Here is a 26748-nt window from a genome sequence, read left to right on the forward strand (position 1 = left end):
TGAGGCAGGAGAATGGCAGGAACCCGGGAGGTGGAGCTTGCAGTGCGGTGAGATCGCGCCACTGCACTCCAGGCTGGGCGACAGAGTGAGACTACATCTCAAAAAAAAAAAAAAAAAGGATTAAAAAAATGCTGGTTTGTTGGAAAACATTTTAATTTTTGCTATTTGCTGGAAAACTGCTTATATAAGCAAAATTGTATGTGAAATACGTTACTGAAAAAGCACACCACAAGGCTTTTTTTTTTTTTTTTTTTTTTTTTTTTTGTCTGTCCTTCATCCCTCTTTTTTGGAACTTACCTTCCTCCTGATTCTGATGGGTCTGTCAATTATGTGGCCTTGCCTTCAAGGCATGGAAGTGAATGTCTACTAGGCTAGCCAATCAAAATGCCCTATTCTCCCACATACAGAGATTGGTAAATCAGAGTCCTGATGAAGAAAGCAAGCAGGGCTCTATTCTCCTGGATTGCTAGCTTTAAGAAAAATGCAAACCTTCCCCATTGAGATGAAGCCAAAAGAGATGAAAGCAGACCTAAGAGATGGAGAGAGACAGAAAGTGAGATTCCTGATGATGACATTTGAATCCCTGAGACCAGCTATTTAAAAAAACCACCTCTTTAGTTTCCTACGTACATAAGCCAACAATTTTCTTTCTTTGCTTAAGCTAGTTGGAGTCGGGATTTTCCATTTTTTTTTATTACTATACTTTAAGTTCCAGGGTACATACATGTGCATAACGTGCAGGATTGTTACATATGTACACATGTGCCATGTTGGTTTGCTGTACCCATTAACTTGTCATTTACATTGGGTATTTCTCCGAATGCTATCCCTCCAGCCCTGCCCCCCACCCCACAACAGGCTCTGGGGTGTGATGTTCTCTGCCCTGTGTCCAAGTGTTCTCATTGTTCAATTCCCACCTATGAGTGAGAAAATGCTGTGTCTGGTTTTCTGTCCTTGTGATAGTTTGCTCAGAATGATGCTTTCCAGCTTCATCCATGTCCCTACAAAGGACATGAACTCATCCTTTTTTATGGCTGCATAGTATTCCATGGTGTACATGTGCCACACTTTCTTAATCCAGTCTATCATAGATGGACATTTGGGTTGGTCCCAAGTCTTTGCTATTGTGAATAGTGCCACAATAAACATACGTGTACATGTGTCTTTATAGCAGCATGATTTATAATCCTTTGGGTATATACCCAGTAATGGGATGGCTGGGTCAAATGGTATTTCTAGTTCTAGATCCTTGAGGAGTCGCCACACTGTCCTCCACAATGGTTGAACTAGTTTACACTCCCACCAGCAGTGTAAAAGCATTCCTATTTCTCCACATCCTCTCCAGCACCTGTTGTTTCCTGACTTTTTAATGATCGCCATTCTAACTGGTGTGAGATGGTATCTCATTGTGGTTTTGATTTGCATTTCTCTGATGACCAGTGATGATGAGCATTTTTTCATGTGTCTGTTGGCTGCATAAATGTCTTCTTTTGAGAAATGTCTGTTCATATCCTACGCCCACTTTTTGATGGGGTTGGTTTTTTTCTTGTAAATTTGCTTAAGTTCTTTGTAGATTCTGGATATAAGCCCTTTGTCAGATAGGTAGATGGCAAAAATTTTCTCCCATTCTGTAGGTTGCCTCTTCACTCTGATGGTAGTTTCTTTTGCTATGCAGAAGCTCTTTAGTTTAATTAGATCCCGCTTGTCAGTTTTGACTTTTGTTGCCATTGCTTTTGGTGTTTTAGTCATGAAGTCCTTGCCCATGCCTATGTCCTGAATGGTATTGCCTAAGTTTTCTTCTAGGGTTTTTATGGTTTTAGGTCTAACATTTAAGTTTTTAATCCATCTTGAATTAATTTTTGTATAAGGTGTAAGGAAGGGATCCAGTTTCAGCTTTCTACATATGGCTAGCCAGTTTTCCCAGCACCATTTATTAAATAGCGAATTCTTTCCCCATTTCTTGTTTTTGTCAGGTTTGTCAAAGATCAGAGGGCTGTAGATGTACAGTGTTACTTCTGAGGCCTCTGTTCTGTTCCATTGGTCTATATCTCTGTTTTGTTACCAGTACCATGCTGTTTTGGTTACTGTAGCCTTGTAGTATAGTTTGAAGTCAGGTAGCGTAATGTCTCCAGCTTTGTTCTTTTTGCTTAGGATTGTCTTGGCAATGTGGGCTCTTTTTTGGTTCCATATGAAATTTAAAGTAGTTTTTCCAATTCTGTGAAGTCATTGGTAGCTTGATGGGGATGCCACTGAATCTAAAATTACCTTGGGCAGTATGGTCATTTTCACGATATTGATTCTTCCTATCCATGAGCATGGAATGTTCAATTTGTTTCTGTCCTCTTTTATTTCTTTGAACGGTGGTTTGTAGTTCACCTTTAAGAGGTCCTTCACATCCCTTGTAAGCTGGATTCCTAGGTATTTTATTCTCTTTGTAGCAATTGTGAAGGGGAGTTCATTCATGATTTGGCTCTTTGTTATTGGTGTATAAAAATGCTTGTGATTTTTGCACATTGATTTTGTATCCTGAGACTTTGCTGAAGTTGCTTATCAGCTTAAGGAGATTTTGGGCTGAGATGGTGGAGTTTTCTAAATGTACAATCATGTCATCTGCAAACAGGGACAATTTGACTTCCTCTTTTCCTAATTGAATATCCTTTATTTCTTTCTCTTGCCTGATTGCCCTGGCCAGACTTTCCAACACTTTGTTGAGTAGGAGTGATGAGAGAGGGCATCCCTGTCTTGTGCCAGTTTTCAAAGGGAATGCTTCCAGTTTTTGCCCATTCAGTATGATATTGGCTGGGGGTTTGTCATAAATAGCTCTTATTATTTTGAGATACATTCCATCAATACCTAGTTTATTGAGTTTTTAGCACAAAGGACTGTTGAATTTTGTCGAAGGCCTTTTCTGCATCTATTGAGATAATCGTGGTTTTTGTCTTTGGTTCTGTTTATGTGATGGATTATGTTTATTGATTTGCATATGTTGAACCACCCTTGCATCCCAGGGATGAAGCCTACTTGATCGTGGTGGATAAGCTTTTTGATGTGCTGCTGGATTCGGTTTGCCAGTATTTTATTGAGGATTTTCGCATCAATGTTCATCAGGGATACTGGTCTAAAATTCTCTTTTTTTTGTTGTGTCTCTGTCAGGTTTTGGTATCAGGATGATGCTGGCCTCATAAAATGAGTTAGGGATGATTCCCTCTTTTTCTATTGATTGGAATAGTTTCAGAAGAAATGGTACCAGCTCCTCCTTGTACCTCTGGTAGAATTTGACTGTGAATCCATCTGGTCCTGAACTTTTTTTGGTTGGTGGGCTATTAATTATTGCCTCAATTTGAGAGCCTGTTATTGGTCTATTCAGAGATTCAATTTCTTCCTGGTTTAGTCTTGGGAGGGTGTATGTATCCAGGAATTTATGCATTTCTTCTAGATTTTCTAGTTTATTTGCAAAGAGATGTTTATAGTATTCTCTGATGATAGTTTGTATTTCTGTGGGATTAGTGGTGATATCCCCTTTATCATTTTTTATTGCGTCTATTTGATTCTTCTCCCTTTTCTTCTTTATCAGTCTTGCTAGCGGTCTATCAATTTTGTTGATGTTTTCAAAAAACCAGCTCCTGGATTCATTGGTTTTTTGAAGGGATTTTGTGTGTCTATCTCCTTAAGTTCTGCTCTGATCTTAGTTATTTCTTGCCTTCTGCTAGCTTTTGAATTTGTTTGCTCTTGCTTCTCTAGTTCTTTTAATTGTGATGTTAGGGTGTCAATTTTAGATCTTTCCTTCTTTCTCTTGTGGGCATTTAGTGCTATAAATTTCCCTCTACCCACTGCTTTAAATGTGTCCCAGAAATTTTGGTACATTGTGTCTTTGTTCTCATTGGTTTCAAAGAAGATCTTTATTTCTGCCTTCATTTCATTATTTACCCAGTAGTCATTCAAGAGCAGGTTGTTCGGTTTCCATGGAGTTGTGTGGTTTTGAGTGAGTTTCTTAATCTTGAGTTTTAATTTGATTGCACTGTGGTCTGAGAGACAGTTCGTTGTGATTTCTGTTCTTTCACATTTGCTGAGGAGTGCTTTTAACTTCCAACTATGTGGTCAATTTTGGAATAACTCCAGTGTGGTGCTGAGAAGAATGTATATTCTGCTGATCTGGGGTGGAGAGTTCTGTAGATGTCTATTAGGTCTCCTTGGTGCAGAGCTGAGTTCAAGTCCTGGATATCCTTTTTAACCTTCTGTCTCATTGATCTGTCTAATACTGACAGTGGGGTGTTAAAGTCTCCCATTATTATTGTGTGAGAGTCAAAGTCTCTTTGTACGTCTCTAAGGACTTGCTTTGTGAATCTGGGTGCTCCTGTATTGGGTGCATATATATCTATGCTAGTTAGGTCTTCTTGTTGAATTGATCCCTTTACCATTGTATAATGGCCTTTTTTGTCTCTTTTGATCTTTGTTGGTTTAAAGTCTGTTTTATCAGAGACTAGGTTTGCAACCCCTGCTCTTTTTTTGCTCTCCATTTGCTTGGTAGATCTCCCTTCATCCCTTTATTTTGAGCCTATGTGTGTCTCTCCACATGAGATGGGTCTCCTGAATACAGCACTGATGGGTCTTGACTCTATCCAATTTCCCAGTCTGTGTCTTGTAATTGGGGCATTTAGCCCATTTACATTTAAGGTTAATATTGTTATGTGTGAATTTGATCCTGTCATTATGATGTTAGCTGGTTACTTTGCCCATTAGTTGCTGCAGTTTCTTCCTAGCATCAGTGGTCTTTACAATTTGGCATGTTTTTGCAGTGGCTGGTACTGGTTGTTTCTTTACATGTTTAGTGCTTCCTTCAGGAGCTCTTGTAAGGCAGGCCTGGTGGTGACAAAATCTCTCAGCATTTGCTTGTCTGTAAAGGATTTTATTCCTCCTTCATTTATGAAGCTTAGTTTGGCTGGATATGAAATTCTGGGTTAAAAATTCTTTTCTTTAAGAATGATGAATATTGGACCCCACACTCTTCTGGTTTGTAGAGTTTCTGCCAAGAGATCTGCTGTTAGTCTGATGGGCTTCCCTTTGTGGGTAACCCGACCTTTCTCTCTGGCTGCCCTTAACATTTTTTCCTCCTTTCAACCTTAGTGAATCTGACAATTATGTGTCTTGGGGTTGCTCTTCTCGAAGAGTATCTTTGTGGTGTTCTCTGTATTTCCTTAACTTGAATGTTGGCCTACTTTGCTAGGTTGGGGAAGTTCTCCTGGATAATATCCTGAAGAGTGTTTTCAAACTTGGTTCCATTCTCCCTGTCACTTTCAGGCACACCAATCAAACGTAGATTTGGTCTTTTCACATAGTCCCATAATTCTTGGAGGCTTTGTTCATTTCTTTTTACTCTTTTTTCTCTAAACTTCTCTTCTCACTTTATTTCATTAATTTGATCTTCAACCACTGATACTCTTTCTTCTACTTGATCAAATCAGCTACTGAAGCTCATGCATGCGTCACATAGTTCTTGTGCCATGGTTTTCAGCTCCATCAGGTCATTTAAGGTCTTGTCTATACTGTTTATTCTAGTTAGCCATTCGTCTAATCTTTTTTCAAGGTTTTTAGCTTCCTTGCAATGGGTTCGAACATCCTCCTTTAGCTCAGAGAAGTTTGTTATTACCGACCTTCTGAAGCCTACTTCTGTCAGCTTGTCAAAGTCATTCTCCATCCAGCTTTGTTCCATTGCTGGCGAGGAGCTGCGATGCTTTGGAGGAGAAGAGGTGCTCTGGTTTTTAGAATTGTCAGCTTTTCTGCTCTAGTTTCCCTCCATCTTTGTGGTTTTATCTACCTTTGGTCTTTGATGTTGGTGACCTACAGATGGGGTTTTGGTGTGGATGTCCTTTTTGTTGATGTTGATGCTATTCCTTTCTGTTTGTTAGTTTTCCTTCTAACAGTCAAGTCCCTCAGCTGCAGGTCTGTTGGAGTTTGCTGGAAGTCCACTCCAGACCATGTTTGCCTGGGTATCACCAGCAGAGGATGCAGAACAGCAAATATTGCAGAACAGCAAATACTGCTGCCTGATCCTTCCTCTGGAAACTTCGTCCCAGAGGGGTACCCGCCTATATGAGGTGTCAGTTGGCCCCTGCTGGGAAGTGTCTCCCAGTTAGGGTACAAGGGGGTCAGGGACCCACTGAGGAGGCAGTCTGTCCATTCTCTGAGCTCAAACACAGTGCTGAGAGAACCACTGTTCTCTTCAGAGCTGTCAGACGGGGACGTTTAAGTCTGCAGAAGTTTTTGCTGCCTTTTGTTCAGCTATGCCCTGCCTCCAGAGGTGGGGTCTAGACACAGCAGGGCTTGCAGAGCTGCGGAGGGCTCTGCCCCGTTCAAGCTTCCCCAGCTGCTTTGTTTACCTACTCAAGCCTCAGCAATGGTGGATACCCCTCCTCCTGCCAGGCTGCTGCCTTGCAGGTCGATCTCAGACTGCTTCACTAGTAGTGAGCAAGGCTCCGTGGGCATGGGACCCACTGAAGCAGGTGCGGGATATAATCTCCTGGTGTGTCATTTGCTAAGACCATTGGAAAAGCGCAGTATTTGGGCTGGAGCACCCTATTTTTCCAGGTACCGTCTGTCATGGCTTCCCTTGGCTAGGAAGGGGAAATCCCCCGACCCCTTGCACTTCCGGGGTGAGGCAATGCCCCGCCCTGCTTCAGCTTCCCCTCCGTGGGCTGCACCCACTGTCCAACCAGTCCCAATGAGATGAACCAGGTACCTTAGTTGGAAATGCAGAAATCACCCATCTTCTACATTAATCACGCTGGGAGCTGCAGGCTGGAGCTGTTCCTATTTGGCCATCTTGGAATGGAATCTGGAATTTTCTTATTTGCAATCTGGAAAATAGAGTAACACACACAGACAATCTAATTTTACCAAAAGACCAAAACAATGTGCCCATAAGAAATCATGTCAAAGAATGTTATTTATAGCAGCAGTCCCCAACCTTTTTGACACCAGAGACCAGTTTCATGGAAAACAATTTTTCTACAGACCCAAGGGTTGGGGACCAGTACCTGGAGGCTGGGGACCCCTGATCTACAGGATCCTTTCCAGGGTGTAATCCTGGTCTCACAATACTGATTAAAATAGCTACAAAATCTCATCTCTGAAGTGGCCCACTAAGACAATGAAGAGGAGTCCCAAATTAAGATTATATGGCAGGCCTAAGGAAAATATATTACTTTTAAGGTAAAAAAAAATCCTTTTACTTTTTTAGTGTTGTTCTGAAATAAATGCTTTCATTCATTCACGCATTATTCGTTGACATTGTTCTAGGCACTTATAATCAGTTAACAAAGCAGAAAAAAACCATTGTGCCCTATGCAGCTTACTTTCAAGTGGGAACAGATAATAAACAATAAACATCATAAATAAGCAAATTGTACAGATGTTAATAGGTAATAAATGCTAAGGGGAAAACTGATGAGGAAAAGGTAAATTGGGAGTATGTGGGAGTGGAGGGAATTGCAAGTTTAAATAGGGTTGTTAGTGTAGGCCACATAGAGCTGGTAGCATCTGGGCAAAGATATGAAAGAGGCAAGAAAGTTTGTCATGCAGATACCCAGGGAGACCCAGGAGGGTGCCTTAGGGCAGGCATCCAAAAGGTCCTAAGGTGGGATATATCTGGCAAGTGTGAAGAACAGCAAAAGTAGATGAATAGATGAACAAGGAAGAATGTAGTTGGGATGAGGTTAGAAAGGGTATGGAGGAGGTGGACACAACACAGGACCTTGCAGGACATTGTTAGGACTTTGCGAGAACTAGTAAGCTCATGGAGTGTTTAGCAATATGATTTTTTTAAAAAGACAATTTTGAATTCTTTGTTAAGAATTCACCAAATGCATTGAAATAATTGTATTGCAATGTCCTAATGTGTCCATATGTTAGTATTTTCTAATAATTGCATAAACTTTGTGGCAGAGACTGCCAATTGTCTGCCAATATCCATTCCTTGTTCCTTCTACAAAACTAGAATCCCTGATTTTTAACTGAGACATATGGCTGCCTAAAATAAAGACTGTATTTTCCAGTTTTCCTTGTAGCTGGGCAGGACCATATGAACATGTTATGGCCAATGGCATGTTAGTGGAGATGGTCCATGCAAGTGAGTGTACCCTTCTTTTTCCTTCCTTCTGCTACCTAGAATGAAAACAATGGCTAGTCCTGGATTGGTCATCTTTAACTTTGATGAGATGCTGAAAATGAAAGCCAGGACTGAGGGAAGATTGAAGGAGTCTGAACCTCTGACAACATGGAGTACCATACCAACCCTGGACTATCTACCTCCAGACTTTTACATGAGTAAGAAACACCTAGTTTGTTCAAAACAGTATTAATTTGGATCTTTGTTACTTGCAGTTAAACCTAATCCTGAAATACCTGACATTCTCTTGAAGTAAATTGCTTTCAAAAACCTAAAATACATGGTATTTACTTAGAGCAAAGAAATAAGGATAACACTAGAATGGCTTAAAATATAAATTTAACTCAGAGTCTAGTAATTTGGGACTTTGGGCCTTGCAGGGTTGAAGAATTCAACTGTTTGTGTATCCCAAACTGAAACTATAAAAAGTAGCACTCTACAGTGATTGCTACATAAGATGAGACTGTGGTTCTAAGCTTTTTAACAACACTTTTCTTTAAGAATTCTTCCCTGGTTGGGTGTGATGGCTCACGCCTGTAATCCCGACACTGTGGGAGGCTGAAGAGGAAGGACTGCTTGAGTCCGGGAGTTTGAGACCAGTCTGGAAAACACAGTGAGACCCTGACTCTACAAAAAGTAACTTAACTGGGTATGATTGCACACACCTCTAGTCCTAGCTACTTGGGAGGCTGAGGCAGGAAGATTGCTTGAGCCCAGGAGATTGAGGCTGCAGTGAGCCATGATCATGCCCCTGCACTCCTGCCTGGGTGAGTGAGACCCTGTCTCAATCAATCAATCAATCAATCAATCAAACTAGCCTAGCTGTCAAAGATCAGATTAAGGTTGCTGTTTTTCAACCCAAGCTTATTGTGTTAGGTGACCTCAAAGGAATCATCTTTATGTTGAAGCACAGAGTCAGGGAATAAAAAACCAGTACTCAGGCTTAAAAATAATGTCTAGACGTGATCTTTGGCTGTGAACATGGGATTAGCTATAGACTGGAAGTCTACTAATTTAGGGGAAGAGGAAGGAGCAGTGTTAAATTACTGAAGAAACCACAAAGCTGGCCGAAAAACATGACTGACCTGTATTCAAATCTCATGCCCACATTTGTATCAGCAGGAAGCAGGCTGCAGATCTGTTCAGCACTCCAGAACAGCAAATTCTCCATTGACCACATCAGATGTGGTCAGGAAGTACAATGTACAAGGAAGACCCTTTCCAAAAGGCAGAATTAGGAGTACTCTGATGAACTAATCAAGGAAATTGCTCCATTGCTAGAGAAAGGAACTTTTACAATTCCTACCTAGCCTAGCAGAATTGATAACCACTATAAACCAGTGACTCTTGTGTTAATCCTATTCTCCTCCTTTCCAAATATACATCCATTCTGTTAGGTGTGATGTGGCAAATGCATTAACTTTTAGTTTATAGGTTACTAGACCACCTGGACTTAATGAAAAGGACAGTGCATTAACCCAACAGCCTAGATTCTGAGCCATATTCAAATGGATCATATTTGGGGGTTCACATACATAATTAAAAGCTAGAACAGGCATGTATGATCAAGAATAGGTGGTTATGTTCTATCTACAGGAAGAAGGGCGTACCAAAGATATTTTGGTGGCTAAAAGGTTGGATTGTGGAGTAAACTGTTAGATGTTCACTAGAATCTCTTCCCTTTTACAGTGTCTAGCTGAAGCCTTTTTTCCATCTACATGTTGCCACTTGACCACATGACTAAATTCTGGTCAGCAGAATGTAAGCAGAAGTGGCATATGTGATTTCTGGGAACTGTCACCAAAGAAGGGGGTATGGGGCATAATTTTCAGCCTTCTTTTCTTCCTTCCTGATATCTGGAATGTGATCATGGCTTAAAGCTGGAATAGCCATGAATGCACCATCTGTGACTTTGGGAATGGAAGCTTCTCACAGCACAGCAACAAAATAGAAGATCTTAGAGCATTATACTAGCCCTCCAGACTTTTATATGAGTAAGAAATAAGCCTTTTTTTCTTACCCGTCCTCAATGTAAACTTTACATTGTAAGTAAGAAATAAACTTTTATATGAGTAAGAAATAAACCTCTTTTTCTTACCCATCCTCAATGTAAACTTTTCTTAACATCTTGTACATGCTATTTATTTCCAGTCTCTAGACCTTTGCTCACACTGCTCCTACACTGTTGATGATTTAGAAACTAGAAGCCAACTTGGTATAATGAAATAGACTTCTTTTTTCCATTTCCCAAAGTTCATGTTTAAGTCAGTTGGTTGCCTGAAATTAAGAATGAATTTTCCTATGTGCTATGGTTGGAATGTTTGTGGCCACCCTCCACCCCCTGCCAAATTTCTAAGTTGAAACTTAATCCCCAATGTGATGTTATTATGAGGCAGAGCCTTTAGGGAGGCAATTAAGTCATAAGGGTGGACTCTTTTTACAACGCAAGGGCACATTATCAATAAGGAAGCAGGCACTCACCAGACACTGCTGGTGCCTTGATCTTAGACATCCTAGCTTCCAGAACTGTGAGGAATAAATTTCTATTGTTTGTATACGATTCAGCCTAAGGTATTTTGTTATGGCAGCCCAGAATAAGATACTATGGAAACAAATGTATACATTGATCAGTTTCCTTGCCTCATTCAATATATGCTAGTAATACCTGAATTAACTCTCCAATAATATTATAGTTAAAAAAAATTTTATGAGAGCTGAGACTAGTCTGTCCTGTTCACTTTGCATTCATAGTGCTTAATTCAGTGTCTAGGACATAGTAGGTATGCAATAAATATTTATAAAAGAAATATGGGAAATTGTACTTCAGATGCCAAGAACACATTTGTTCACAGCAGCAACATTGTAATCACAGAAGAAAGGATTCCTTACAGGACTAAAGTAGATAGTTTTGACAAATTTTCAATGTTAATTCTTTCTATCTAAACTAGCCAAATAATTTATCATCCAAACTGGGCCTGTCTCAGGCAAATCAAGTGTCTAGACTGCACCTATCTATATTTAAATAGCCTCCTTTTTAAATGAAAAGGTACTATCCTATGTCTCTGTGGTTGCATATGTACCCATGGGACTCACCAAAGATTTACTCTTTGATGCTTTTTAAAGAAGGCATCAAAAAGTCTCTGTTTTTATCTTGATGAAAATAATGTTTTACTCTTCAAGGAAGAACAAAAAGCATTTCCTCCTCACTAGCTCCACTCCCAGTGGTAAGTGGGATTTCCTAATTCAGAGGTCTGGTTTCCTTTACCCAGGGATGATACACGGGGCCTTTTTGCATTTTTAAAATCTGTGCCTAAAAGGCCTTTAAGTTAAATTGCTGGATTTCCCAGGATATAAAAAAAAATTAGCAAGAATTGGTCTGCAGCAGACAAATCTACCCCACACTATTCTGGGGCAGTGAGACCTTGGAAGAAAATGACTGTGTGGAGTGTATGTGGTTCTGAGAGAGAGGAGGAGAGGAGCAGGAGGGAGGGAGGAAAGGAGAAGGAGAGGTGGATTTAAAAGGCTAGGTAACTGTAGCTGTGATCTGGGGGAACCAGTGATGGGTACTGTAATTGAGCACAATACTGAAGGAATTGTGTTAGCCACTGTGATGGTTAATTTTATGGGTCAACTTGGCAGGGCCATGGTGACCAGCTATTTGATCAACCATTGTTCTGGGTGTTTTCTGTGAAGGTGTTTTTTTGGATGAGATTAACATTTAAATGTGTAGACTCTGAGTAAAGCAGTTTACCCTCCATAATGTGATGTGGGTCTCATCCAATCAGTTTAAAGCTTTTATAGAAAAAAGACTGACTTCCCCTGGGTAAGAAGGAATTCTTCCAGCAGGTTGTCTTTGGACTTGAATTGCACCCCTTCTCTAAGTCTCTAGCCTGCCAGCCTACCCATCAGATATTGGACTCACATAGCCTCTGCACTCACGGGAGCCAATTCTTAAAAATCAATTAATCTTCCTCTCTCTCTCTCTTCATATATATATGTATTGATTACAGAATGAGTAGATAGAGAAGGGAAGGAGAAAACAAGGCGGAAGAGAAATTGGTGGAGGGTGAGAGAATGAATTTGGTTTTGGATCCATGGAACTTGAGGTATCTGGCAAGCAGTTAAGGACACCACTGGTTGACTGATGAGTAAGAGATGTCCAACATGAAAGCCTCCCGTGAACCTGCTGGAGTTTGGTGGACTTTGCCTTTCCACATCTTGGAGAGCTAGTAGGGAGGAGTTTTTCTGCAGGTGACTCTGGCTTCCAGAAGGGGGCAGCAAAAAGGATGGTTCAGAAGAAAGAACTTGGCTAAGTATGTGCATTTCAAGACAAAGTTCTCCAGAAACTTCTTTCACAGGTAGGGAATTCAACAACAGTGCCCACTGCAGTGAAGCATTGTATTGGTCCCAGAAGAAAGTGATGACAGAATAACATTGAGACCAATTCACCCTGCGAGTAGAATCTCTGAGTTATGTTTGGTTTGGTTAAGAATGGAAATTCCAGTTTTATAGATAGATAGATAGATAGATAGATAGATAGATAGATAGATAGATAGATAGATAGACATGTGTTGCTTAACAACGGGGATACGTTCTGAGAAACCCACCATTAGGTGATTTCACTGGGCAAATATCATACAGTATACTTACACAAACCTAGATGGCATACTATACACCTAGCCTCTATAGTATAGCTGATTGGTCCTAGGCTACAAACCTGTACAGCATGTAACTGTGTAGAACACCGTAGGCAATTTTAACACTATAGTAAGTATTTGTGTATCTAAACATAGAAAAAGTAATACACTGCACTACAACATTACAACAGCTATGTCACTAGGTGATAGGCATTTTTCAGCTCCATTATAATCTCATGGGAGTACCGTTGTAAATGTAGTCCATCCTTAAGCAAAACACTCTTATGCAATGCATGACTATACACACACACACACACACACACACACACACACATTTTTTTTGGTCTGTTTCTCTGTAGAACCCTGACTAATATACCCTCTTTCAAAGACCATGTTGCCTTGCAAGGCTGAGGTGGAACTGGTGCCAGAAAAACTTTCCTGAAGCAAGGACCAATAGCGCCTGTCAGGTGATGGATGCCAATGAGATCAGTAATGGTGATGTGGGTCAGCAAGAAGCTATGGCAATGGCAGCACCACCAATAGTACCAGCAGCACCAACAGACAAACTAACTGACATTAAGGGTCATTCTCATTAGGGAGGGGACAGCTGGAGAACTTTCCTTTTGAACGACAGTTAACACCTAAGGTTCACAGATAATCTACAGGAGATGGGAAGCTCAAAGATTATGAGACTACACTTGCTGCTAACTAAGCATATGGAAAAATAAAAGCAATATAACTAACTTACACGCACAAACATTATGGAGGAATTCATACCTATTGACATAAGAGAATGATCACGTGTTTCTCTTGCACTTTCTAACTATGTGGCCTTAAGTATCATGAATTTTTTCAGCCTCAGTCTTCTTTTGTGCAAAACAGGGTAACTACATGGTTATGAGCATTAAATGAAATGGTGAACTTGGAAGCATTTGGCACAGGGCTTGGCACATGGTAAACATTCAATAAATGTCCTAATCTGCATCAAATAAGAAAAAGATCTGTTTATACATAGTTTAATAAGAGAGGGTGCTTTTGTCCACCCAGCACTCCTCTGTTGGCCCTCTCTCTCCTCCTCCCTTAAATATTTCATGATAGGAGGGGTGAGGCTCTCTTCTAAAGCATCTTTAACAACCATTGTCTTTTGAAATCTTTCATAGGTTGAGTCTGAATTGGGAAATGCTTATAAGCAAAAATCCAGCTGTGCATAGCAAGGCAAAAGTATATGATTAAAGAGTAAAACCACTTGCAGAAAAAAATCCACTGACTGTCCTGGTGTGTTTATGATATAATCCAATTATTAAAAAAACGAAATTTGAATATAACTATTCAAAAATAACCTGAAGAAAACAGAAATAGTTTTATTTTTTACTTATGCACAATTATAATCCTAACTTTCAGTGAAAGAGGTAATTATTTTAGTGGTAGGTATACCTTTTTGTTTTTTTCCCATAAAGTAGTTCAGGAGTCAAAGCTGGATGCAGTGACTCATGCTTATAATCCCAGTATTTTCAGAGGCCAAGGTGGGAGGATCTCTTGAGCCCAGTAGTTCAAGGCCAGGTTGGACAAAATGGCAAGACCCCATCTCTACAAATAAAAAATTTTAAAATATTAGCCAGGCCGAGTGGTGCATGCCTGTAGTCCTAGCTACTTGGTAGACTGAGGCGAGAGGATCACTTGAGCCTAGCTAGGACTACTTGGTAGACTGAGGCGAGAGGATCACTTGAGCCCAGGAGTTTCAAGGTTGCACTAAGTATGACTGTGCCACTGCACTCCAACGTGGGTGTCAGAGTAAGACCCTGTCTTTTTTTTGAGATGGAGTTTCACTCTTGTTGCCCAGGCTGGAGTACAATGGCACAATCTTGACTCACTGCAACCCCCACCTCCCAGGTTCAAGTGATTCTCCTGCCTCAGCCTCGCAAGTAGCTGAGATTACAGGTGTGCGCCACCATGCCTGGCTAATTTTTGTATTTTTAGTAGAGATGGGGTTTCTCCATGTTGGTCAGGCTGGTCTCAAACTCCTGACTTCAGGTGATCTGCCCATCTTGGCTTCCCAAAGTGCTGGGATTACAGCCATGAGCGACCACACCCAGCCTGACCCTGTCTCTTAAAAAAATAAAATAAGGGCGGGGCACAATGGCTCACACCTATAATCCCAGCATTTTGGGAGGCCGAGATGGGTAGACCACTTGAGGTCAGGAATTCATGACCAGTCTGGCCAACATATTGAAACCCTGTCTCTACTAAAAATACAAAAAATTAGCTGGGGGTGGTGGCAGATGCCGGTAATCCCAGCTACTTGGGAGGCTGAGGGAGGAGAATCGCTTGAACCCAGGAGGCGGAAATTGCAGTGAGCCGAGATCATGGCACTGCACTCCAGCCTGGGCAACAGAGTGAGACTCCATCTCAAAATAAATAAATAAATAAATAAATAAATAAATGAAAAATACTTTCAAGATGCTTTCAGTAGGATTAGTTATATAAGTGTGAAATCATTACCATTATTAAATGAAATATTTCTTCTGTAATGTATCTATAAACAGTGTCATCCTCACTAGAAGTAGAACATATTCACAGGCTAAGTAGAATATGCAAAATACAAGACTGTAACAGGGTTTCAGATAACACCCCTGCACATTGACAATTAAATGAGAACTAATCGTTCATTAGAAATTAAAGAAATAAAAATGTGTTAATTTTAATTTGACTGACACTAAATACTATGGTACTCTAAAGAATACGGATAAAGGCATTGACTTATGTTTTATTAACACATGCATAGTTTATTCACTGACACACAGAAAAACCACAATCTTCCTTTACTTCCTATTTCTTAACAATTTCAGATCACTATGTGCTCCCCTCTGATACCCCCACCTAGGGTACCATTCCATCCTTTTTTACAAAAGACATTCCTGTCCTTAGTGGTTGAGTCTGGACTCTGGAGCCACAGTGACTGGGTTTGCCTCCCTGCTGCCCACTTACAAGCTGTGTCACTTTGGACAAGTTACGTAACATCTTTGTGCTTCAGTTTCTTCATCTGCAAAATGGGGATAAAAATAGTAACCACTTCATAAAGTTGATGTGTTTGGCACATAGTAGGCACCATGTGTCAGCTACTGGAGAACAGAGTCCTGGTGGTCCACAAGTTGAACACTAACTACCAATAACAGTTCATGTAGATTTTCCAAAGGGCATGCAAGTGCGGATAGTTGTAAGAAAACCAATTTCTAGATTCTTGCCTTCTATATATAGGCACTTTAAAAGAATACATCTGCCTAAGAAGCTGGCACTTTAAAAAAATACATCTGCATAAGAAGCTGCCTGTCCTAACTAGAGTTTAATCTTGGACAGTCTCTATTTCTCATTTTACAAAAGAAAAGCATTTCCTTTTTGCCTATTCCAAGGTTTCAAACCAAGGAACAACTCCACAATTCCTTTAATCAAGAAATTATGCATGCTCTCCCCAACCTATATTATCAACATATTTTTTCATAAATTTTCTTATGTTTGATAAATATCAGAAATGGTAATATATCCATGCTGTTTTGAATAATTGCATGCTACCAATAATTATAATGAAAACCCAATCCTGATGAAATTTTTCTACACTTATAACCTTATGGTCAAAGGCCATTTTTTAAAAAAAACCTTATTATAGTATGTGGTTATTGCAGATAACAACATGTTATGTAAGACAGAGTAGCCTATAAAAAACTTTCAATTATAAATGATAAAATTCTATGAAAAAATGGAATAAACGTAAGTTTAAGGAAAAACTTTGTTGAAGAAGAGCTTGTTAATGTTTTTAACGTTTTAAAATCTCTATAGAATTCAGGTCTGGGGCTAGAAACGTTATGTATATGTGTACGTGTGACACCTTGTCATGCTTAAAACAAAGAACTCTCTTAAAACTAGAAACTCTATCTCCATCACCTATATTCACATGCATCCTGTTGTTTCTCTGTTTCTCTAGAGAGCTCTACTACACACTCTTTCATGTGGGGAGTGTCAAAAGCACACAGGAGTCAACTTAAAGGTAATTCCACTGGCCAAAAATGGGACACTCTGAAAAGTAAAAAAAAAAATAAAAGATGAAAACATCAAGCATATAAATCCATGAGTATCTAATAATACTAAAATTAAGATTTATACTTCAATTCTCATCATTCGTCTTTGGAGATTGCTGGACCACCAATTTAGTATACTGGAAGAGAAATGTACTTTTCCTTCTTTCCTGAGTTGGCTATAATTCAGGAGAAACAAATAGATAATGAAAGAAAATTATTCTTAATAGAAGAATCATAGCTAATAAATATAGATGGAATAAAAGAATTAGAAAAATCACCATTGCATAGACTCTAATGAAATAATGGACCCAGATAATGTTTGTCCAGGCAATGCTTGTCATCATGAGATGAAAAGACAAAGGGAAGTTTATAGGAGATGAATCTGACTGATATACTATTGATTCACATTAATGTCACTAAAATAGGACAACTAGAAATTGCTTCTCCTTGTGTAATTCCACAGGAATTATAAACACAGGAATACCTATGAAGGATTCTTGCCATAAACACTGAATCTAACCAAGTTTCTAGATCTAACTTCTAGGGTTTTTTCTCATAAGTATGTGAAATAGAGAAACATGTTAAAAGACATGGCAGAGAAAACAGAGAAAGGAAAAATGTTACAAATGAAGAGACTCAAGAATCATAGGAGGGTGGATCACAAGGTCAGGAGTTCGAGACTAGCCTGGCCAATATGGTGAAACCCTGTCTCTACTAAAAATACAAAAAAAAATTAGCCCGGCATGGTGGCACACGCCTGTAATCCCAGCTACTCAGGAGGCTGAGGCAGGAGAATTGCTTGAACCCGGGAGGCGGAGATTGCGGTGAGCCAAGATTGCACCACTGCACTCCAGCCTGGGCGACAGAAGGAGACTCCGTCTCAAAAAAAAAAAAAAAAAAAAAAAAAGAAATCATTTCAACTAAATGCAATGCATAAATATTATTTAGTTCCTGATTTGAACAAACTTTCTTCAGACATACATTTTTGAGACAATTGGTGACACATGAATATATACTGCTTACTACTTAATATTAAGGAAATGATTTTATTAAGGAAATGATTGTATTGAATATGAATAAATGGTACTACCATGATAAATCTTTTTTGTTAGACATATAAACCGAGGTATATGTGAGTACAATATGATTGGAGTTTGCCTTAAAATACTTCAATAGAAAAGAGTAAGGGAGTAAAGGTAAGACTGTCAGACAGCTGATGATTGTTTAACTTGGGTGAAGAGTACATGGAGGTTTTACCGTTTTTCCTCTTGTATGTGTTTGAAAATGTTCATTAAAAAATATTTTAAACAAATCATATGGAATTCAGATTCTATTAGATATATTTTAAATAGTTTTATTTTTTAAATGTCAACATTCATAGCATATCAGAAATCACATATTTTCCAACTATTTAAGCTTATAACAAGAAATGTTAAGTGTCAACTTAAAATGTACAGGAGAGTATATGCTTTTCAAAATTGTATTAGAGAGTACATGAGCAAAAATATTTGAAGTTCTTGTTCTAGACAATAACTACCTCCAGCCTCAGCAGTAAGGAGAGAATTCAAGTGGGACAGAGCTGACAAACAACCTCCTTATCTTCTTCCCCAGGTAAATTGGGACTTGCTTAGCTCTCCTGCATTTCCCTAGAGGAAGGGTGAGAAACAGGTTCTCATAATTCCTTCACAGTGAACTAGGTGCTTAAGACTGCCATAGAATCACCATAATTTAACACTCCTTTCGTAGCTTGGTCTAGGTCCCTAAACCAGATAGTGATGATCAATGCATTAGTTCAAAATCCCAAATTGTGAGGGAGAGTTAGTAAAGTTCAAAGTAGAGCATACTGTCAAGTAGAAAATTACCTTGATGTAATGGTAGCCACCAAGTACATTACCAGGCACACTAAATCTGAGGGCTCACAGACCAAATTAACATGTTCATTTCATACAACTTACTAAATAAATGGAAAACAAAAAGCAAGGGGAAAGCAATGAAATAGGTTGACACTCTTATAATAGGATGTGAGTGGCAGGACCACCCTATATGTATCCTGCGTTACATGCTAGTCACATGCTCTGTTTTCTCTGTGCCACATCAGCCTTCCCCATAATAATGTGTTGTAAGAACCAGAGTTCAGATTTGAGTCAGGTGGCCAAGATAGAAGGTGCCAGGGGTCAAAGGCACATACTTGATAATGAGAGAGACAAAGGGGCAGTTATACCTGAATAAAGAGGTACCTTGCCAATTAATGGTGAAGAACTATGGGTTTTATTTGCATTTCTTGGGCATAGTACCATGGGCCAATATAGGACCTTACTGGAGGTCATAAGTAGGTGGCATGGCACAGCTGTCAGCCCAGAAGTGACAAGATCATAAATTGTTTTTCCTTTCTATCAAATAAATACACACTTGTCTATTCCTTCATAACCCATTTATTTTGTCTTGGCAAGTTTTACATGTTAGTAACTTGCTTACTATGTATATTTAGTACATATTCTAAATTCTGCTTTTCTTTCTCAAACTACTTGCTTACTCTTATCTATATTAATACATGCTAGGAGTTTCACCTGTATCTCATAACATACTTGCTGACTTCCTATCTATCATCAAAATTTCTTACAAATTTCATCATCTCATTTGTTTTCTTCTATAGTAGAATTGAATATTCGAACTCACATTTTCTAGTGGGATGGAGATGACACAGCAGAGAAAAGCATGCATGTGGAAGAAAGACACAAGTGAAGAAAAGAAATCTGGAATTACCATCATCTTCAAAGATTTCAGGTCTCTTTCTCTAGCTTCCAAGACAGAAAACAGTCAGATATTACCTCTCAAAGGCCAGTCCTAATGTACACTGGAAACACTTAGGTAGAGTTTTAGGCCATATTCCACTAAACAAGAGGTTGTATCTGTCCCTTGAAAACTGCTGCAGCATTCCAGCAGCAAATACCTTATTTTCTGCCACTCAACATGCCCTCACCTATTTAATTGCCAGTTACCTCCACCAATGCTGAAACGGCATCCCCATACCACAGTGGAAGCCATTATACACTGTGGTAGGAACTTCAGGTGTGTTAAAATATTGTCAAAGTAGATAATGACTGTTGGTTCAGGAGATATAAGTTGCTGCCACACTCAACCTTACTAGGAGACATGGAGATCTCATTTGCAAAGCCCCATCTCCAATAGAGCTAGTCCAGAAGGCTAACCATTCAATTCAATTAAGAAAGACACTTGATTTCTTCATTAAATCTACCTTCCTGGTGTTGTGTAAATATGTAAATCACATATATACACCTGCATTGCCAAATTATTCTTTTTAAAATTAATTTTACAACAACTAAAATATAGTTTACTGTGGAATAGTCTACTCTTCTACAATGCAATAGTTATATCCCTGAGTAAACTTGCATTATCAAAATTCATTTTATAAAAATAATAGCTTATTTTTTTTTAAGTGGGGAGGTTAAGAACTACAGTTCCAGACTCAAATAAGTTATGTTTCCTGTTGGAATTTCAGTGACAAATGTTTTTGCTTGTTTAATAGCTATAATTGTACAACTAGACAAACTAATATCCTACGGTAAATCTAGCTATCTAGCTGTTGCCTTATTCTATGCTACCAGACTGTGTTAAGCAAACCAGTTCTTGCATATTCTTATCACTTTATTATCCTGTCATCTATTGTTATGATGAACAAATCAATTTTATGTAAACATAAACAAGGTACCTTTGTGGCCCTCCAAATGTGTTTTCCCTAAAACCACTTTGCGAATTCCTGACCCCATCATCTATCCATTCAATCAACAAATTGTTGAGTACCAACTATTTCCAGACTTTGAAAACAAGACAATGAATTCAATGTTGACAAGATAATATTGTTCCTCCAACTGGTTGAATTTTCATTATAATGAATGTAAACACAATTTTAATTAACTTGTCTTATTAAAGACAATTTAAATGATTATAACTGAAGTTATCACAGAAATGCTCATATTAAGATTTTACAAAATATATTTAAAAATCTATTCTTGGAATTAGTAATCATTGTAATTTTTTTGTTTTTAGTCTTTATGATTTTACAGATTTTTTTAAAACAAAGGTGTGGCCATATTAAATATACAGTTCATATACATGGCTGTTTGTGGTGGCTCACACGTGTACCCCCAGCTACCTTGGGAGGCTGAGGCAGGAGGATTGCTGGAGCCCAGGAGTTCAAGTCCATACTGGACAACATAGCAAGACCCAGCCTCCAAAAAAATAAAATAAAATACATACAGCTGGGTTCACTGAATGAGCGTATGTTACTAAATATTTACTATGTTACTAAATATTTGTTGAGAACATGATTTTTTATTACCTGTTTAATATCCTAGTTAGTGGCTCCAAATGCTTCTTATTGTGATTAAAGCTGTGATTCTTGTATATATACCTTTGACCACACCACTGAATAGTTCTTTAAGTCTAGAAGCTAAATCCCTGGATCAAAATATATGCACATTTTTAAGGCTGTTGTGTATCTCCAAAATGAATTACTTTTTGGAAATAAATCAACTTCTAAAATTATCAGAAGTATTATATGAAAGCCCATCTAACAGTACCCATTAGTGGAGCAAAATATTATCTCTTAACTTTGCCAGTTTTAGAAAAATGTTATAACTGGTAGTGAACATTTAATTTTTACAATTTTAATTATTCAATTTTTAAAAATTATATCAATACTCAAGGAGGAATATCAAGGGATCATCAGGGAGATTTTATAAATTATAAATTATTTTAGTTCTACTTAGGAAAACATTTAATTAAAAGAAGAAATTCCTAAAATATAGAATATGTATGTTAAGCTCCTAGATATTTTAAAGATAACTAAGTTCAAAATATCTAATTAGCCCAGTGTCCCCTTTCTCATATACTTATGAGAACATATCCAATTATCTTGAAAAAGGTAATTAAAATTACTATTAATAATCCTGATACTAAGACATGTTATAATTCATTTGATAATTACATTTCCCACAAAGATACTGTCAACATAAACTGTGAAACTGTAGATCCATCCTGTTTACAAGTATCAGAAACAATATGCTCATTGTTCTGTTGTACTTAAATGCTGCATTGCAGCTTGTCTTAACAGGTAATATGTGACATGAAACATGTCTGATTTTATGCTTCATAATTTCCATTCTGTTGTTTAACACTCAAAAAATTATATTTATGTATCACATACGTCAGAAAATGATTTAAATAATTTAACTAAGTAATAGCAACCATACCTTTCATTTCAAATACAAAATAGAAATCTTTTGTTGCTAGATGTTAAAAATCACCTTTAATCAGAAATGCAAATACATTTTTTAATTTATGTAGCTAACATTAAATATTTGATTGAATTGTTTATGTTTTATATTTTCAGAAATTTATTATGAATCAAAATATTAAGTCATAAAAACAGGAGACATCAAAAAACTACATTTCAAGATTGACTTATGAATTTTAAAAATTCATTATTTCTGTTCACTATTCTGATTTTTTATAACAAGGAAAAGAAAGAAGAATAAATGTAATTATTTTGATTTTAAAAACACTACAGGAAAAGGTACTAATTTAAGCCAGGCTGAAGTTTACATTATTTATTGGTATTTTTCTTCAAAAATATGCATTAGAATAAATATTTTTCTAAATACTAAAGTAAATAGAATGCATGGCTCTGGCATATTTATTTCTTTGAAAAGGTGTTCTGAATTTTAGACAACATAAATACTAGGCACTGTGGTGGTTGCCATAGTAACAAATAGAAGCATAAAAATACATGCAATTTTTCAAATGTATCCACTTTTTTCATAAATGTGCATATGTTATAGGTAAAAGATTATTGAACTCTTGCTTTAGCTCCCCTTTTAGCAGGAGATACATGTAATTCTTTAGAAATAGAAGATTATCATGTAGCAATGGAGCAGGCTCAGAAAAGTTTGTAAATATTATGTGGGAAATCTTAAGTTCTTTTAATGTAAATTTTCCAAATTGAAGGCAGGAAAAAAACTTCTTTCACTCTATCTTACTTTAATGGACAGTGTTCTTTAGGTAAGGGTAAAAAGCACATAAACTTCTTTTCCTCCCAAGCATGAAATTTCATTTTATTTTGCATAAGTTTAATATTCACATGCATAAATGCAGCACATGACCTTGGAAAGCTGAAAGCCCTTTTGATCCCAAAGAACCAGAAGTTGTTTAATGCTAATCCAGGAACTACTACTTGAGTAAACGATCTTTTCTTTCTCCACTCCCCTAATTTAAATATAATCTTCCTATTTACAGGTATCCAAGTGACTGAATTTTACACTTACAGTTTAAAGGGCTGCAGAGGGAAGCAATTCCACAAGCCATTATGTGAAGCTTGAAATCTACTGAAAGGTACTGGTAAGCTAAGCAAAACAACAGAAAAGTTGCTCAACTATTATTGAGAAACATATCCTTCAAACCTGATTACAAAAATCTGGACCTCCAATTTGCTTCAACAAAAATTATGTAATATTCTCCTGGGGTGAAATTTAAAACTTTGTAAAGATCACCATCTAGGCAGAGTGACAAACGTAAGGTAACAAAACAGTGCTCTAGGGCTTACCTTGTGCTCACTCCATAAAGAAACCATGTGCTGTCATGGGTAAGGATTGACTAGTCTACCAGAGGAAAAACAATGAGAAACATCCTTATCGTGTATATGCACGATCCTATTTACTTTTATTAAAGAGAAATCGTTTATTTATTTAAATAATGATATACAAGAATAATTAGCATTATGTTTTTACTAAACAAGTTCAAACATAATTGAATTCAGCATAATAAAAACATGATAGAAAAAGGCACTGCCCTCAGTGAGCTCACAGTTTGATACTTAGCAACGTAAGAGCTTTCGACTATTGTATTAAACTTTCAACACAACAACTTCATAATTCGAGTAGTCAAGGCATTCCATATATTAAGGAAGTATGACTTAATTTCCTATCTACAATGTACAACTCAATCTCAAAACAAAGATAACAGCTTTTGAGTTAACTTGAAAGTTCACTTAATAATAACATGACGAGCTCAATAAGTCCTTGGAGAAATATTACATCCACCTAAATTCATATAATTACATTCTGCTACCTTTAGTATTCTAAAACAAATACTCAGAATCTGAGATGACCCAAAATGAAACCCCAAATGTAGCAAAAGGCTACACTCGTATGTAGCCCTCTAGGAGTGAGGAAGAAATAATCTCATCCTTATTGCCATCAGGCATTTAGATTAGATCAGGTTTAACTCAGATTACAGTTTTCATTTTGCCAGGTGGGAGATGCAATTAGAATGACTATTTTATTGACATTGTGTTCCCTGACACATAAACTTAAGGTCTCTGTTTTCTGTCTCTTTTTCTATACACTATAACACATATACAAGTGTGCACAAACACACACAACACACATTCATATGCACTTACAAACATATATGCTGAATATATTGTTTCTTTGACAATACACATAATTTCCATTCTGAATTTTCCAACTTCAGTAAATTTGACTTGCAAACCAAGGCAATGGCCACTTCTTCACAATTTTCACAATCTCGGCAAGGTCTTCTTGATTTAGTTGGAAGCAACATAAATGAGAACCTAATACTTCGCAAAATTCTTCATCCAAGTTGGTGCAAAGCATGACCTTTTTCTATATCTGAGCTAACTAGCAGCATAGCCTGAAGCAGCCTGCCATACATAGGACATTTCTTTGGAATCTAATGCTTTATCTTAAATATTCAAAAAGTGAAATGTCCATTTTACTTGATAAATTATCTGTTAATTTTAGTATAAAATGGTTCCAACAGATGGTATCCATTTGATAATAAACCACATGGAGACAGTAAACACAAAGCATTTATTACCTACAACATTGGTGACAATGCCTAAATATGTGGCCCACTATCTTCAGTGTTCGTCAGAGTGCAGAAACATCTAGAACCTGATGATTTTCACAAAACCAACTGTTGGTTACAGCTTTAGATAATATTTTCTTAAACGCCTTATTCTTAAGGATAATTTATACTTCAAGTCTGATGTTCGATATTTACTTGAAATTCTTTGATTATAATGCCAACACCTACTAATTAGCACTGCTAAACTTCGAAGCATGAACAGAATAAGCACAGTGAACTGCTTGATATGTTGAGGCACCATACTAGGTAACCCAACCACCTTTGATTACTGGATAATAACAAGAAAATTCTTCAATTTACAGAGCCTAGTGTAAATAGAAATGTCTATGACTGAGGGTTATGGAAATAGATAATCAGTCTCTAAGAAGTACATTGTAAGATTTTTCTTTTTTTTCTTGAAGGGATAGTTAGTTCAAACTTTAAGAAGTCCAAAAGTGAGTTAAAATATGAGTCAAAGGCCAGGCGCGGTGGCTCACGCCTGTAATCCCAGCACTTTGGGAGGCCAAGGCGGGAGGATCACGAGGTCAAGAGATAGAGACCATCCCGGCCAACATGGTGAAATCCTGTCTCTACTAAAAATACAAAAATTAGCCGGGTGTGGTGGCATGTGCCTGTAGTACCAGCTACTCAGGAGGCTGAGGCAGGAGAATCTCCTGAACCTGGGAGGCGGAGGTTGCAGTGAGCCGAGATCGCACCACTGCACTCCAGCCTGGTGACAGAGCGAGACTCTGTCTCAAAAACAAACAAACCAAAAAAAATTATGAGTCAAATATTTATGACTGTCAACACAGAATAGGTCACATGGATGTGAGTACTGCAAAAGGAAAGAATATCTTTTTATTCCTCTTCTCTTTCCTATCAACTCTTTTTAACTAAATCTTCTGCTTTCACCATCTCAAAATGATGTAAAGATGTCATTGGAAACTGGAAAAGCGATATCCATTTTTAAAGCAAGGGGGAAATTATTTTGGTAATTATACAGCTTAGTTTAACTGGGGGCATGAATATAGTAACAGAAGAGCCAAACATGCCAGATGAACTTAGTAGCTTTCTATGATAGAATGACAGGTCATATTATCACGCAAAAAGTGAACAGTGTAGTCTATTTCAATGTCGTAAGCCTTTTTATTCCCTTCTCCAATTCAGTAGGATAGGGAAAAATGATTTAGGAAGAAAGGAATTTAAAAATTGACTTGAACGCTAGACCAACGGCTACTGATGCATCTCTCTTTTAAGGATCTGTTTCAGAATAAAGTCAGTCTTTTTACTGATGACTGACAGTCAGGAATCTTGGCTTACTTTACATTTTGATTCCATCACATCAAGTCTCTGAGAGCTGTGAAATTTTAAAAAAGGTATTTCCTTATTTTTTTTCCCTCAACTTTTGACCTTTTTTTCCCTGTAGAGCTCTTAAATGACTTGTTAATTCAACTAAGTGGTGTTGCACTGGGACAACAGTGCAACACCACTGTAAATATAAACTCAAATTAGGTAGAAATTTTGAGGGAACAAGGATGCACTTTGTGAATGAATTGAAAGGATTTTCTATGGCTAGAGAGGGTAATCAATATTGGAGTGGTGCTTAAAATATAAGTGCTGGAACAAACACTTGAAACTTGAAGAGTGTGAAGAATACCTCTTATTTGGTTACAGGAGAAATAATGTAAAAATCAATTGTGAGGAGTCAAGGGATGAACTCACTTTTCATGACAAGCAATCTCTGTCATGAGACCAGCTGGCTGACTACATGAGAAGGCTGGGAACATGACTACGCTGGAAAGAGGCCTCACTGGGGAAAGGAAGTCAAACATTTGGCTTGTATTACAGAATCAGGCAAGAGCCAACAGTATGTTGAACTCAGCTACCTACGAACCAGGAGACTTGTTGTTCCTCATTATGTAATTGACAT

General features: G+C 37.8%; 1 protein-coding gene across 22 annotated transcripts in view; it reads right to left on the reverse strand.

Annotated features, from left to right (window-relative positions):
- The window catches only part of DCDC1 (doublecortin domain containing 1), a 506137-nt gene that overhangs the window by 465108 nt on the left and 14281 nt on the right, over positions 1-26748 (reverse strand). For 20 of the 22 annotated variants that reach the window (NR_170625.1, XR_002957144.2, XR_002957145.2 and 17 more), the window contains exon 2: positions 6737-6854. The gene's annotated coding sequence lies outside the window, so the exon portion shown is untranslated. Of the gene's footprint in view, positions 1-297; positions 530-6736; positions 6855-14235; positions 14343-26748 lie in introns of those variants that run through there. The other 2 variants (XM_024448473.2, XM_024448471.2) reach the window with 2 other exon arrangements.

The sequence above is a fragment of the Homo sapiens genome, chromosome 11 (assembly GCF_000001405.40).
Source record: "Homo sapiens chromosome 11, GRCh38.p14 Primary Assembly".
NCBI lineage: Eukaryota > Metazoa > Chordata > Mammalia > Primates > Hominidae > Homo > Homo sapiens.